The sequence below is a fragment of the Homo sapiens genome, chromosome 6 (assembly GCF_000001405.40).
Source record: "Homo sapiens chromosome 6, GRCh38.p14 Primary Assembly".
Taxonomy (NCBI): domain Eukaryota; kingdom Metazoa; phylum Chordata; class Mammalia; order Primates; family Hominidae; genus Homo; species Homo sapiens.
The window spans coordinates 114,474,200-114,490,396 of NC_000006.12; the positions used below are offsets into that span (position 1 = coordinate 114,474,200).

The window sequence follows — 16,197 nt, forward strand, 5'->3', positions numbered from 1 at the left end:
TTAAAATATATTGGCCCCAAATTTTTCAAGTTTGGTGAACAACATACATTTATAGATCCAAGAAGCCTAGATAACTCCCAGCAAGATAAACACAAAGTAAACTACACCTAAGCACATCATGGTAAAACTTTAGAAAATAAAAGATAAAGGCAAAATACTGAAAGCTGTCAGAGGAAAGAGGTCATCACATATAAGGGAACAATTATACAAATAATGGCTGAATTATCATCAGAACATTGAAGACCAGAGGACAATGAAGACACTTTACCCTTTCAATAAATGATAATAGAGCAACTAATCGGATAAATACATGGGAAAAAATGAATCTTAGCTTCACCTTACACTACACACAGAAACAAATTCAAGAAGGATTATAGCCCTAAATTATAAGATTAAAACAATAAATCTCTTAGAAAAATATATAAAGAATATTTTTGTGACCTAGGTATAGGCAAAAGCTGCTTAGAGAACACAAATGCACTAAACTTGAAAGAAGTAATCATAAATTAGACTTCATTAAAATATTTAAGAATTCTTTTTTTTTTGCACCAATAAAAGAGGGAAAGCCAGACTATGGGCAGAAGAAAAGATATTAAAAATACATATGTTCAACGACAGAACTGTATTCAGAATATTTAAAGAATTCCTCCAAATCCATAAGAAGAAGACAAATAGTCCATTAAGGTGGGTAAATGAATTGAATAGATCTCACAAAAGAAGATATAGGATGGCCCAGAAGTATGTGAGAAGATACTGAATATCACATTATCTGGGAAATGAAAATTAAAACCAAAATGATATACCATATACATAAATCAGAATTTTTTTCCCACAACATAGATAATATCCAGTGCTGGCAAGCGTATGAAGTAAGTGGAACTCATATACTGCTGGTGGCAGGGTAATGTAGTACAACTACTTTAGAAAATTTATTTGTGGTTTCTTAAAAAGTTAAACATATAATAATCACTTAGCAATTCCACTCCTAGATATTTACTCAAGAGAAATGGAAACATGTGTCTTTAAAATGTCTTGTACAAGAATGTTCATAGCAGCTTTACTTTTAATCACCAAAAACCAGAAATAACTCTTATGTTCATCAATGGGAATACAAATAACAAATTATGGTGTATTAGTACAATGAAATACCACTTAGCGCTAAAAGAAAGTCAGTTTTGGATACAGACAACAATATAGATGAATCTGAAAAAGATTATATTAAGTGAATAAAGCTAGCTAAAATTCATATACTGTTTGATTTTATTTACATGAATAATTACACAAGAATCTATGTTGAAAGACATCAGAAAAATAGTTGCTTAGAGAGGTGGAGATGGACTGAACAAAGGATGACGTTCTGAGTGATGGAATTTTTTTTTCTTTTTTTTTGAGATGAAGTCTCACTCTTGTCACCCAGGCTGGAGTGCAGTGGCACAATCTCGGCTCACTGCAATCTCCACCTCCCAGATTTGAGCTATTCTGCCTCAGCCTCCCTGAGTAGCTGGGATTACAGGTGCCTGCCACCAGGCCCGGCTAATGTTTATATTTTTAGTAGAGACGGGGTTTCATCATGTTGGCCAGGCTGGTCTTGAACTCCTGACCTCAGGCAATCTGCCTGCCTTGGCCTCCCAAAGTGCTGGGATTACAGGCAGGAGCCACTGCCCTGGCCAGAAGTGTTTTATATCATATTTGGGAAAGTTTTTATTTGAATATTTGCATTTGTGAACAATTATTAAATTGTATATTTCAACTTGCATTTAGCTGCATAATATTTACCTTAATTTAATAAACAATAGCAAAAATTCATCTGCTTAACATTTCCCTTGATTTAATAAACAAAGAAAAAACTAACATCAATCTTCTGTTAAAAATGCCATGATCTTGCAGCAAACCACCATGGCACATGTATACCTGTGTAGCAAACCTGCAAGTTCTGCACATGTATCCCAGAACTCAAAGTAAAAAAAAAAAAAAAAAAAAAAAAAAAAAAATGCTATGATGGCTCCCCATTTCATCCAGTCAAAGCCAAACAAAATAAATAATAATTATCTTGACAACTCTGCTCTGGTATATTTACTAAAAAACAAAACAAAGCAAACAAATCTTTCTCCAATAAGATTTAAGAGAAAATTGTTCCCTTTAATTACACATGCATCTGGTACCACTTGGAAGAAGAAAAGGAAGAATCAACAATAGCATAATATTTACTTTATCATTTTGGGAGCAGAAATGTCATATGACGGTATATACACTCACCCACATACACCTTTCTTGATGAAAAACTTAAATTGGAGCTTCAAATAGCACGTATCTGGTTTTTTAATGAGAGTTTTTATTTTATAACCTTCAGTCAAAAAGTGTCCAATATCAAGAAATGTTTTTCAGATGGATTCTCATGAGGCACTTGGATCCAGGTCATTCTCTTTCAGTTCTGCAAATTATTCCACTAGAACTTCTGTACCAACTATAACCTAAAGTTCCTTCCTTCCTTCCTTCTTTCTTCACTCCCTCCGTCCCTTCCTCCCTCCCTCCCTCCCTCCTTCTTTACTTCCTCTCTCATTCCTTCCTTCCTCCACCAAATATTTATCAAGAGATATACTGCAATACTGGGAAGATTAGAAATATGTGGTTCCTACCAATGAGGAACTCAAGATAAATGAGCAAAGTAGATATGTAAATATACAATTATACCATAAATTAATATTGTAAAACAGATGTATATGTATATATATATATTCTAATCACAGTGGAAATGACTAACTTTGAAGCAAGTGGAAATCTGTTGGGCCACTTAAAAAGGAATATGACTAAACATCATACAATGCACAGGACAATCTCCCCCTTCCCCTATGACAATAAATTATCATGTCTAAAATATCAATAGCATTAAGAATGAGAAACTGTATGTCATTTAGACAGTTTGTTGGGATTTTCTGATTATTTTTCTTCTGTATATGCCCCAAACCTCTCTAGATCATTCTATATTTTGTTTTGCTGGTGAGTGTTAATATTTTATCTTTGAATATTTTGTAGTATCTTCTTTATGATCAAGGGATATGTAGCTAGAGATGAAAAAAATTATTAATGCTTGGATAGTTCCTCACTATATATAAAGCCTTCTCACAAGATATTTCACAATGTACTACTGAGGACAGTAAACATTTTATAAGTGAGAGGACTGTAGCTAAGAAAAATCACAATAGTTTACACATTCAGGGACTTTAGATTGAAACTGAAGTCTTTTGATTCCAAGTCTCATTTCCTTTCCACTGTTGTCTTTGAAATTCCAGGTGTTAGCGATTTAGTACTGTACAAAGAAATTAAAAAAAGAGTTAAGATGACAGAATACACCTTAGTTTCCATTCAGAAATTATTATCCTGTTCCAAATCAAAAGAGAGTAAAATGAAATAAAAATTAACTGCAATGTCTGTATTGTTGACTGGAAAAGTTTGCTATAAAGTTGGCGGCAGGCTGCAGTGGCTCATGCCTGTAATCCCAGCACTTTGCGGGGCTGAGGCGGGTGGATCACTTGAGGTCAGGAGTTCGAGATCAGCCTGGCCAAGAAGGTGAAATCCCATCTCTACTAAAATACAAAAATTAGCCAGGCCTGGTGACACGAACCTGTAATCTCACTTACTCGAGAGGCTGAGGTAGGAGAATCGTTTGAACCCAGGAGGCAGAGGTTGCAGTATGCTGAGATCATGCCACTGCACTCCAGCCTGGGCACCAGAGTGAGACTCCCTCTCAAAAATAAATAAATAAATAAATACATTGGCATAATTGACAAAGTATAACTATGGTTCAAATATATGGATTATAATTGGATTTTGATAGTGTATTGTGGTTATCAAATATAATTTCTTTGTTTTTAGGAAATACACAGTGAAGTACGTAGGTGTATTAGTCCATTCTTGCACTGCTATAGAGAAACCCCTGAGACAGCGTAATTAATAAAGAAAAGAGGTTTAATTGATTTGCAGTTCTGCAGACAATACTGGAAGCACGGCTGGGGAAGCTTCAGGAAACTTACAATCATGGCAAAAGGAAAAGAGGGAGCAGGCACATCTTACATGGCCAGAGCAGGAAGAAGAGAGAACAAATGGGGAGGTGCTACACACTTTTAAACAACCAGATCACGTGAGAGCTCATTCACTATCACGACAACAGCAAGGGCAAAATCCACCCCCATGATCCAATCACCTTCCACGAGGCCCCTCCTCCAACACTGGGAATAACAATTCGACATGAGATTTTGGTGGGAACACATATCCAAACCGTTTCAGTAGGGGTAAAGGGCTGTGATGTTTGTGACCCACTCTAAAATTGTTTAGAGTGAGAAGGGTAAGGCAAATATGGCAAAATGTTAAAAACACACGAAACTAGGTAGAGGGTATAAAGGACTTATTTGTAATATTTTTGTAAACTTTTTGTCCAAATTTTAAAACTATCTCCTAATGGCAATGAAGGCTCAGAAAGGGACAAGTATTTGTGTCTACTAAATGACAAGAAGGCATTATGATAGATATTTGGGATACAAAGATGGATGATTTCAAGAAGCTGTGAGTCTTGTGTCAAAACAGCAAATTAAACAGAAATTACAAAATGGAGTCACAAGTGCTATAGCCTAAGTAGCTCTACTCTGCCTTTTCCTAAGCAAGGCTGCATTCTCTGCATTCATCTGACCTCCCAAAGGAGAGCAGAGGATTCTCCACTTTAGCACGTTGCCTTGGGCCTTAGCCTTGTCCGTTATTCCTGGTTGCTATTTTCCCTAGGAGGTGGAATGTCAAAATGGTCACATCCTCAGCCCATTGACTTGTTTTTACTCAGCTTATGACTTGCGTTTGCCACAGGAGAAGAATCAAGATACATAGCTTAAAATTATGATTATGGGGTGTATTATTCCAGACTTTTGACACCAACTGTACTGCAACTTTAGTACCTGACACTGAGAGAACCATTCTGTTCATTAGAAAAATTCTGGCATCTCACCCAGTGTTTTCAATAGGGCAGGAAAAAGGAATGGCTCAGTAAAGGAGCATATCAGAATTTCTGTCTCCTGGAGAGAGAAAATGTGGTGCTCCTACCCCTATCCATATCTGCTATCACTGTGCGTCAAGAGAGGTATTGCTGATATGGTTATGGGAGAGGGAACATGGAAAAATATATATTGAAACTCACTGATCTAGACTAAAATTCTCATTTTATAGATAAGTAAAGTAAGACCCACAAAAGTAAAATATCTTTACCAAGATTATTCAACTATTAGGTTGAACTCTGTGAAATTAAAACTTTTACAGGTAAAAAATTTGTCTGATATTGATAATTTCATGTGGTCCAAAATAATAACGGCATGATGGTGAGAAGCCTGATCTTCATATTTCTAGGGAAGATATTTCCTAGTAGACCATGCTTTTTGCTTGCGATAGAAAGCAAAGTACTTTCTGGAAGGTTCTTCAGTGGCATGTCCTCTGTTTAATTTGAACATTTCCATTACAGCCCTCACATCTGGCCACACGCATTGTGTAGAGCACAATTTCAGGAGGCACTTTTTGCATATTCTATGACACTACAATACAATCAGCAGAATCATTACCTTACATTTGAAAAAAAATATTACATCCATACTCTTTCGAACTTGTTTCTTTTCCTAGGTATCTAACGCCAATATTCACAAATTATTTCTACAATCATTTTTTCATTCTATTGTACCCTCCAAATCTCTTCAGATTTCTTCCTTTTTGATATTCTTTTCTCACTATCCCTTGTGGCCTACTCATTGCCTTTCCACTGGTAGCTTGTTTCACATAGCTCTATATCTTTCCCTTCCTCCAGACTGAGGATCGTCTCATATTCCCTTACTCTTTTCTCCTTGATCAATGTCATCAAAGTAATTCCTCACTCCACCTAACTTTAAATTTACAGATTAATTCATTTATGTAAGATAGCTCTTGTCTTAAGTGCAGAAGCAGAAACACAAAGCAAGTCACATAAGAATGGGATCACTGTGTGTATTTTTTCCTTAGATATTTTTGAATATGTAGATGATTGGATATGATTTGAATCATATTTGAAACGCTTTTCTTATTTTATTTTTATATATACATTGGCTGGACTGATATGTTCCCAGATAGTATTCCAGAAGAAGTGAGGGAGAGAAGAAAACATACAGTGTGGTCCAAAAGAGGCAGGGTCTAGAAAAATACTGAAGAAACTTAATTATGTGGAAGAAAGATCAGCAAGCATTCAGGGCCTTTAACTCATTCTGGCAACAGCTTTCATCCGTAGCTACGATGCCCACATTAGCTTTAGCCCACATCCAAGTCCCTGTTATTCATCTCTAATTCTGACATACATTCTCATATTTAACTTTGTTTTGGGTGTTCAAATGGTATTTGAAAAAAAAACCTAAAAAGCAAGTAAACTTGAGTACAATTTTGATCTTCTATCTTCTGTTATTTCTGTATTTCACTCTATTTCTGGGTTAAACCACTAGAATTTTTTTGCATCAAAAGTAGGACCAAGTTGATGTTTTATTGATTTAGAAATGCTATGCTGTCTCAGACTTTACATGCTATGCTTTGACAGTCTGACTGCTGGGTGCTGGATGGCAGCACTAAGCCTTCATAACACTCTCGGTGGTCAAAGGGTTGCAGCTCTTTTGTTGCTGCTGTTTGCTTATCATTTTTTCCTGACTAGGAAGTCAATATAAATAGATACATATATTTTATTTCAGGTTACAAATTACAGTCTGGAAATCATTTTGTAAGATATGGTTTATTCATTTTTCTTTTTTTCTTCCTCTCATCAAGATCCAGCATAGATAACAAACATTTGGAAAGAATGAGCACTGGAGAAAGAAAATAAGCATAAATTGTATAATATTATCTAAACATGTCCTTGTGCATTGCTAGCTACTTTTATGATAACTTTTGTTTTAGTCCATGGATTTATTAGCATTTACTAATTGAATGTTCAGTTCTAATGCTTTATTTTTATCAGAATTTTACCTATGTTTCTTTCACTATGGAAAACATGCTTTCTTAAATTTTCTACTTTAGCAGTAGGACTCAAAATGCCATGGGAAAGGAAAAAGAATACTGAGAAGGACACTACATAAAAGGAGATTCCAGCTGGCACATTGTTCAATAACATATAGATTAAGATGACCAGACATACTGGCTTGTCTATACCAATTTCAACTCAATTCACTTCAGCAAATAGCTTTTTAATGGTCTAAAAATTATAAGAGATTGGACTAGACTCAGCAGGAAATAAACAGATGAGTACACTTCTCTTAAATAGTTTAGTTGAGGTTGAGAGAGGCAATAAGACCTGTACATAAGTAACAATAAGAGGTAAGAGTAAAAATGGGTTTCGTTGAAGAGTTACCAGTGCAGTGCAGCAATGTGAACAGGCCAAACAGGAGATGTCATTCCTTTAGGGCCAAGAGAGTAATTAAACCTTCATGGAGGGAGCTCTTTTTGAAGTGAATTTTGCAGGTGATAAAGTTTTTAAAAGCGGAATAAGAAGGAAAGTCACTTCAGGAGGAGGGAAAAGTGTGAACCAAATGCAGTTATAATTTGGAGGGCAACTAGGGGCTTATGGAGGCTTTTCATAGATTTTGGAGTGGTGAGTTAGAAAAACTATCTTGACAGTGATATGGAAGACGAAGTTCAGACAAACATGTCAGCAGATCCCATAGGATTCTATGGGTCTGGTCTGGTCTTTTCTTTTCTTTTCTTCTTTTCTCTTCTCTTCTCTTCTCTCTTTCTCTCTCTTCTCCTTTCTTTCTTTTCTTTTCTTCTTTTCTGTTCTCTTTTCTCTTCTTTTTTTTTTCTTTTTTGGCTTAGGTGAAATATAACAAAGGCTTAATATAAATCTCTTTAAACAACAAAAGGGAAGTTACCACTGATCCCACAGAAATAAAAACAACCATCAGAAACTACTATGAACAACTCTATGCACACAAACTAGAAAATCTAGAAGAAATGGAGAAATTTCTGGACACATACAGCCTCCCAAGACGTAACCAGGAAGAAATTGATTCCCTGAACAGACCAATGACAAGATCTGAAATTGAGTCATTAATAAATAGCCTACGAATCAAATAAAAGCCCAGAACCAGATGGATTCACATCTGAATTTTACCAGAAGTACAAAGAAGAGCTGGTAACATTTCTATGGAAACTATTCCAAAAACTTGAGGAGGCCCTCTTCTCCACACATTCTATGAGGCCAGCATCATCCTGATACCAAAAGCTGGCAGAGACACAACAAAAAAAGAAAACTTCAGGCCAATATCCTTGATGACCATTGATACAAAAATACTCAACAAAGTGCTTGCAAACCAAATCCAGCAGCACATTAAAAAGTTAATCCACCACGATCAAGTAGGCTTCATTCCTGGGATACAAGGTTGGCTCAACATATGAAAATGAATAAATGTGATTCATTACACAAACAGAACTAAAAACAAAAACCACAGGACTACCTCAATAGATGCAGAAAAGGCTTTTGATGAAATTCAACATCTCTTCATGTTAAAAACCCTGAACTAAGTAGGTATTGAAAGAAAATACCTCAAAAGAATAACAGCCATCTATGACAAACTCACAGCCAATATTATACTCAATGGTCGAAAGCTGGAAGCATTCCCCTTGAAAACTGGCACAAGACAAGCATGCCCTCTCTCTGATTCCTAGCCAATGTAGTACTGTAAGTCCTGGTCAGAGCAATGAGACAAGAGAAAGAAATAAAGAAATAGGAAGAGAGAAAGTCAAAGTATCCCTGTTTGTAGGCGACATGATTCTATATCTAGAAAACCCCACAGTCTCTGTCCCAAAGCTCCTTGATCTGATAAACAACTTCAGCTAAGTTACAGGATACAAAATCAATGTAAAAAAATCACTAGCATTCCTGTACAACAACAATTCCTATACTACAACATCAGCCAAGCTGAAAGACAAATCAGGAATGTAATCCCATTCACAATTGCCACAAAAAGAATAAAATACTTAGGAATACAGCTAACCAGGGAGGTGGAAGGTATGTACAATGAGAATTACAAAGCCACTGCCCAAAGAAAACAGAGATGACACAAACAAATGGAAAAACATTCTATGTTCATGCTCATGGATAGGAAAAATAAGTATCATTAAGATGGCCATGCTGCCCAAAGCAATTTACAGATTCAATGCTATTCATATCAAACTACCAATGACATCCTTCACAGAACTAGAAAAAACTATTTGAAAATTCATATGGAAACAAAAAAGAGCCCAAATAGCCAAGGCAATCCTAAGCAAAAAGAACAAAACTGAAGGCATCAAATTACCCAACTTCAAACTATTCTACAGGATTATTAGTAACTACAACAGCATGGTACTGGTACAAAAAGAGACACATAGACCAATGGAACACAAGAGAGCCCAGAAATAAGGCCACAAACCTGCAACTATCTCATCTGCAACAAATCTGACAAAAACAAGCAATGGGGAAAGGATTCCTTATTCAATAAATGGTGCTGAGATAACTGGCTAGCCATATGCAGAAGAATGAAACTGGACCGCTTCCTTACACCATATACAAAAATAAACTCAAGATGGATTAAAGACTTAAATATAAAACCCCAAACTAGGAAAACACTGGAAGAAAACTTAGGTAATACCCTTTTGCACATAAGAACAGCCAAAGATTTCATGACAAAGTTGTCAAAAGCAATTGCAACAGAAGCAAAAGTTCACAAATGGAATCTAAGAACAACTGCATAGCAAAAGAAGCCATCAACAGTGTAAAGAGACAACCTACAGAATGGGAGAAAATTTTTGCAAACTATGCATTCAACAAAGGTCTAATATCCAGCATGTATATGGAAACACATTTACAAGAAAAAAATCAACGCCATTAAAAAGTGGGCAAAGGACATGAACTTTTCAAAATAAGACATACATGTGGCCAACAAGCATATGAAAAAACACTCAACATCACTAATCATTAGAGACATTCAAATTAAAACCACAATGAGATATCATTTCACACCAGTCAGAGTGGCTATTATTAAAAAGTCAAAAAAATAACAGATGCTGGCAAGGTTGTGAAGACAATGAAATGCTTATACACTGTTTGTGGGAGTGTAAATTAATTCAACCATTGTGGAAAGCAGTGTGGCAAATCTTCAAAGAGCTAAAAATAGAACTACCATTTGACCCAGCACTCCTGTTACTAAATATATACCCAAAGAAATATAAATCATTCTATCATAAACACACATGCATGTATATGTTCACTGCAGCACTATTCACAATAGCAAAGACATGGAATCAAACTAAATGCCCATCAATGACAGATTGAATAAAGAAAATGTGGCAGACACACACCATGGAATACTATGCAGCCATAACAAAAAAGCAATATCATGTCTTTTGCAGGAACATGGATGGAGTTGAAGGCCATTATCCCTAGCAAACTAACACAGGAATGGGAAACTAAATACTGCATGTTCTCACTTATAAGTGGGAGCTAAATAATGAGAACTTATGAACACAAAGAGAGGAACAACAGACATTGGGGCCTACCAGAGGGTGGAGGGTGAGAGGAGGGAGAGGAGCAGAAAAAATAACTATTTGCTACTAGGCTTAGTATCTGGGTGATGAAATAATCTGGACAGCAAACCCCTGTGACACAAGTTTACCTATGTAACAAACCTGCACATGTACTCCTGAACCCAAAATAAAAGCTTAAGAATATATATATATATATACATATATGTGTGTGTGCATATATATCTCTTATACATATAAAAAGATCTCTCTCTCTCTCTCTCTCTGGACCCAAGCTACCAACCTACTTATTTACCCTGATGCGTCTTACTATATACTAAGACAATTAGTAAAATCTTAGCAAACTCTAGAATTTGAACAATGGACACAGAATTAGAAGTGGAAAAATAAAATGGCTGGAAAGAAACAACTCTATGAGAAAAAGCCTTAGGGAGTAAACTGAGAGATAATTGTGTAAGGAATATTTCTCAATTTAGTTTTTGGCCTGTATAATTCTGATACCAAAACCTGAAAAAGACAGTAAAAAAGAAAATTATAGGCCAATGTTCCTAGTGAACATGGACTAAAACATTCTAAAAAAGAAAATAGTAAATGGAACCCAGTTATGTATAACATGAAAAATGACCAAGTAAGGTTTATTCCTGGAATGCGAGGGTGATTTAATATCTGAAAATTAATCAATGTAATTTACCCCCTAACAGAATAAAGGTAAAAACCCATATGATCATCTCAATAGCTGTAAAGAAATATTTGATAAAATTCAACACTCATTTATGATAAAAACTCTCAGCAAATTAGAGATTGAAGGGAATTTTCTAAATCTGACAAGGGATATCTATAGTTCAGAAGCTGTTGTTACAGGCACTTGGATAGTATTTTCAAGAAATGTTGGGGAAGGGTGGCCTTGAAGCCTGACTGAAAAGGAGTGAAGAGTTGGGTGACTCAGTATAAACTCCCCCCTTCTTTTTCGACAGCAAGGCTTGATGATGGGAAAGGAGAAAAAGGGTGATAGTTCCAGAAGAATATTAGGAGGGATGTTTTTTATATTTTATTCATTTTTGTTATTTTGGAAATGGGGGGAAATTGAACTATTTATCATTCCCTAAATAAACCATGTATTTTTGCTCCCTATGATCTACATGTTGTAAAGGTCTGGGTACTGGCATGAAAGAAACACAGACTTATAGTCTTAAATCTGGAGAAGGCTAAATGTAGGGACTATTTAGAAAGGTGTGGGGAGAGGAGAGGGAAACCAACAAAGAGCATTGAGGCGCATATTAGCCAGCAATACAGGAAAGCTGTTACTGCCTCTAGACCTGAATTTGTTACTGGAAACCAGCGAGAGTAGTAGCCATGAGAATTAGGTGACCTGAAAAGATAAATACCTTAAACTGTCTTTCTTTTCACCTTCCATTATCCTGCATGTGCCTACCATTGGCTGATCCCAGCAGAAGCTGGTGGATAAGGGAGCCTGGGTAATGCAGTTCCTACAGGCCATTCTTCCAGGTTATAAAGAGGTGGGCAGATGAGGAATCTATAGAGGTGAATGAAGAATAACTAGCATCATATGTCATTCTCTAAATATAATGTCCTTCCTTCCTTTTTCTATCTGGCAAAATCCTGATCACCCTCCAAGGCTCAGTTCATGAGTAACCTATGTGGATTCACAGTGCTTCCAAGCAAAGACCATTGTCTTTCTTCTATTTGCATATATGTGCCTGTGACAAAGAATATTTATTGAGTACAAATATGTGATAGACACAGTAATAGCCTGCATTATTAACTTCATTTTTTCATATAATATTGTAAACTAGATAGTATACCCATTTTAACAAGTGAAGAAAGCTAGACTTAGCAGGTTAAGTAATTAGTCCAAACTTACAGAGCTGGTATTGGCAATTATTTTTACCTTTCTAAAAATTGATACATAACAGTTGTAGATATTTATGGGATACATGTGAAATTTTGGTACATGCACACAATGTGTAATAATTAAATTTAGGTATTTCGGATATTTATCATGTCAAACATTTATCATTTCTTTGTGTTGAGAACATTTCAAACCTTCTCTTTTATTTATTTAAAAATATACAATAAATTATTGTTAACTATAATCACCCTACTATGATATAAAAAGCTAGAATTCATTCTGTCTATTTGTACCCATTAACCTACCTCTCCTCATCCTCCCCACTTCCAAACACACACATTCTTCCCAGCCCCTAGTAGCTATCATTTTACTCTCTATCTCCATGAAATCATCTATTTACCTCTCACATATCAGTGAGAACATGCAATATTTGTCTTTCTGTGCCTGGCTTAATTCACTTAAAGCAATGACCTCCAATTCCATCCATGTAGCTGCAAATGGCAGAATTTCTTTCTTTTTTATGGCCAAATAGTATTCTATTATGTATATATACCCAATTTTCTTCATACATTCATCTGTTAGCAGACACTTAGGTTGATTCCATATCTTGGCTACTGTGAATAGTGCTGCAATAAACATGGGGATGTAGTTATCTCTTTGATATAATCCTTTCCTTTTCTTTGGAGTAATAATAGTGGGATTGCTCAATTTTATGGTAGTTTTACTTTTAGTATTTAAAGAAGCCTCCGTAATATTTCCCATAATGGCTGTACTAATTTACACTGCTACCAACAGTGTAAAAGAGTTCCCTTTTCTCTGAATCCTCACCAGCATTTTTTATATTTTGTCTTTTTGATAATAACCATTTGAACTGGTGTGAGTTGATAACTCATTGTGATTTTAATTTGCGTTTCCCTCATGATTCGTGATGTTGAGCATTTTTTCATATACTATTGGTTATTTTTATGTCTTCTTTTGAGAAATGTCAATTCCGATCCTTTGTCCATTTTTTAATGGATTATTAGCTTCAAAGTTTCATACCTTCAAAACTTCTTTATTGAATCGTTTGAGATCCTTGTATAATATAGATATTAGTTCATTGTTGGATGACTAGTTTGCAAATACTTTCTTCTGTTCTACAGGTTGTCTCTTCACTCTGTTGACTGTTTCCTTTGCTGTGCAAGAACCTTTTAGTTTCATGTAGTCCCACTTGTCAATTTTTGTTTTTGTTGCCTGTGCTTTTGAAGTCTTAGTCATAATATCTTTACGTAGGCCAGTATCCTAACATTTTCCCCCTATATTTTCTTCCAGTAGTTTTATAGTTTCTGGTCTTTTTTATAGTAAAAATTTTCTGGTCTACATCTAAGTCTTGAATCCATTTTGAGTTGATTTTTATATGTATATGGTGAGAGATAGGGGTCTAGCTTCATTTTTCTGCATATGGATATCCAATTTCTCTAGTATCATTTATCAATGATGGTGTCTTTTCCCTAATGTATGTTTTTGGCACTTTGTCAAAAGATATTTTGGCTATAAATATGTGGATTTTTTTCTGGGTTCTCTATTCTGTTTCATTGGTCTATGTGTCTGCTTTCATACAAATATCATGTTGTTTCTGTTATTGTAGCCTTGTAGTATATTTTGAAGTCAGGTTATGTGATGTCTCCAGCTTTGTTCTTTTTCCTTAGATTACTTTGTCTATTCAAAGTGTTACGGTTCTACACAGATTTTAGGATCACTTTTTCTATTTCTGTGAAGAATGTCATTTGATGGAGATTGCATTAAATCTGTGGATCACTTTGAGTAGTAAGGTAATTTTAACAGTATTCATTCTTCTGATGTATGAAGATAATGTATGTTTTCATTTTAGAGCTGGTATTGGCAATTTTGAGGAGTTCATGCTGCCTCCATCACGCTATGTTCTGGTGCTTTCTATACAGCCTAAATAGAGCACCTACCAATCATGTTTGTTGAAATTTGAGCAAGAAAAGCATTCACATAGCAAACGATCTCTGGGTGTCACCAGGAAAGCACTTCATCATGGAGATTTCATCAGCAGTAAAGGGTGAGCTCCTCTAACACAAGGGGTTTTGGCTAGGGTTTAGACCTGGGATCTGTCCCTGTAAAAAACAGAATGACAGCAAAGCATGGAGTCAGAGTTCTAGTATATTAGACAGGTATGTTTCTGTTGCCAGTAATTCTATTCAAAGTGCAGATGGTCCCTGACTTATGATTTTTCAACTGTGTGATGGTGCAAAAGCACACACATTCAGTTGAAACTATATTTAAAGTTCCCACCAACCATTCTGTTTTTCTCTTTTAGTACAATATTTAATAAATTACATGAGATATTCAACACTGTAATATAAAATAGGCTTTGTGTTAGATAATTTTGTCCAAATGTAGGCTAATGTAAGTGCTCTGAACATGGTTAATGTAGGCTAGGCTAAGCTATGATGTCCAGTAGGCTGGGTATATTAAATGTGATCGATTTATAATAAGTTGATCAGGATGTAATCCTATTGTAAGTCAAAGAACGACTATAATTCAAATCCTACTTAACATAGTTCAAGCAACAAAGAATGTGCTAACCAATATGGCTAGAAAGTCCAAAGTAAATCTAGCTTTTAAAAGATCAATCTGACTGTTCAAGAGTTCATCCCATACCTTCAAAGCTTCTTTTTCCTCCCTCTTTCTCAGCTTTACTTGTTTCAGTTTTCCTCATCTTTTGGCTCAATTTTTTCCTACTGACAAGTTCTCTCTATTGCCACTGGCAGGCTTAGATTTACATGGCCCTGTTTTAGCACACTCAGTTGAAAGAGAACTTGTTTCCAATTTCCATTTATCAATTTAGGGGAAGGGCTCTGTTTGTCTCTGTTTGTTTGTTAAACACTTACTCTAGAGTTAATCACCGTGATAGGAAAATTGATCATGGTAATTGGTCACACTTGCATTACACATCCATCACAAGGATGGGAAAGGTAGGAATTGTAGGACGTTAAAAAATAATGAAATTTAATGAAAAATATGCTACATGACTCCCCAAAATAGCTATTGCAATCCTTATCCAATCTTCCTATCAAATCTATATTCACATTAAATGCATTCTTTTTTTCAAATCGTTCTTTGTTTTTAGTTTGTATTCCAACTTCTCCAGTAAGTTTTTAACCATGAAATAATTAGCATGAGTCTAATCAACAGAACACAAGTAGAACAATGATATTTTTGCCTTTGTGAAAAATCTTTTTCACCATGCTTAATTCTATACAGATTATCTATATTTACCCATAGCATCACTCTCTTAAAAGCACAGGAATCGTTTTATATTTAAAGATGTGTTAAATTAGTCTGAACTTTTTTTTTCAGGGTACTCTCAATCATAAACATGTACCTGACAACCAAAATTACTTTTCTCTTCTGTCTACTGTATTGATAGTTTTTAAACTTTTTGGGTCAATAAGACTTTGATGAAAGCTGGGGACCTACTCCCCAGCATATATAAACATAGCATGATTTTAAAAATAGAATCCTGGGGAGCTTATAGATCTCTGAAGCTTATAATTGGAGGAGAGCAAAGTAGAGGCTCAGATAGTCAGTGCCTTAGCTAAAGATTGTGCAGTTTCTTCTGCAGGATTTATTCTGCGAGGCTTGTGAATATTTTAACAGAGGCGAGGCATCGTCAAATTTGTACTTTAATGAAATAATTTTGTTTATAGAGGAGAAATGAATTTGGAGTTATGGGAAGGGAAGGTACCAGAGAGATCAGT

General features: G+C 35.4%; 1 long non-coding RNA gene across 1 annotated transcript in view; it reads right to left on the reverse strand.

Moving 5' to 3' along the window:
• Positions 1 to 2,725: 2,725 nt before the first annotated feature.
• Positions 2,726 to 16,197, reverse strand: part of LNCPOIR (lncRNA periodontal mesenchymal stem cell osteogenesis related) — a 68,396-nt gene continuing 54,924 nt past the window's right edge. The window contains exons 3-4 of the long non-coding RNA NR_183487.1: positions 14,389 to 14,550; positions 2,726 to 3,307 (exon numbers count right to left, since the gene is read on the reverse strand). This is a non-coding gene — a long non-coding RNA (lncRNA periodontal mesenchymal stem cell osteogenesis related). The remainder of the gene's footprint in view (positions 3,308 to 14,388; positions 14,551 to 16,197) is intronic.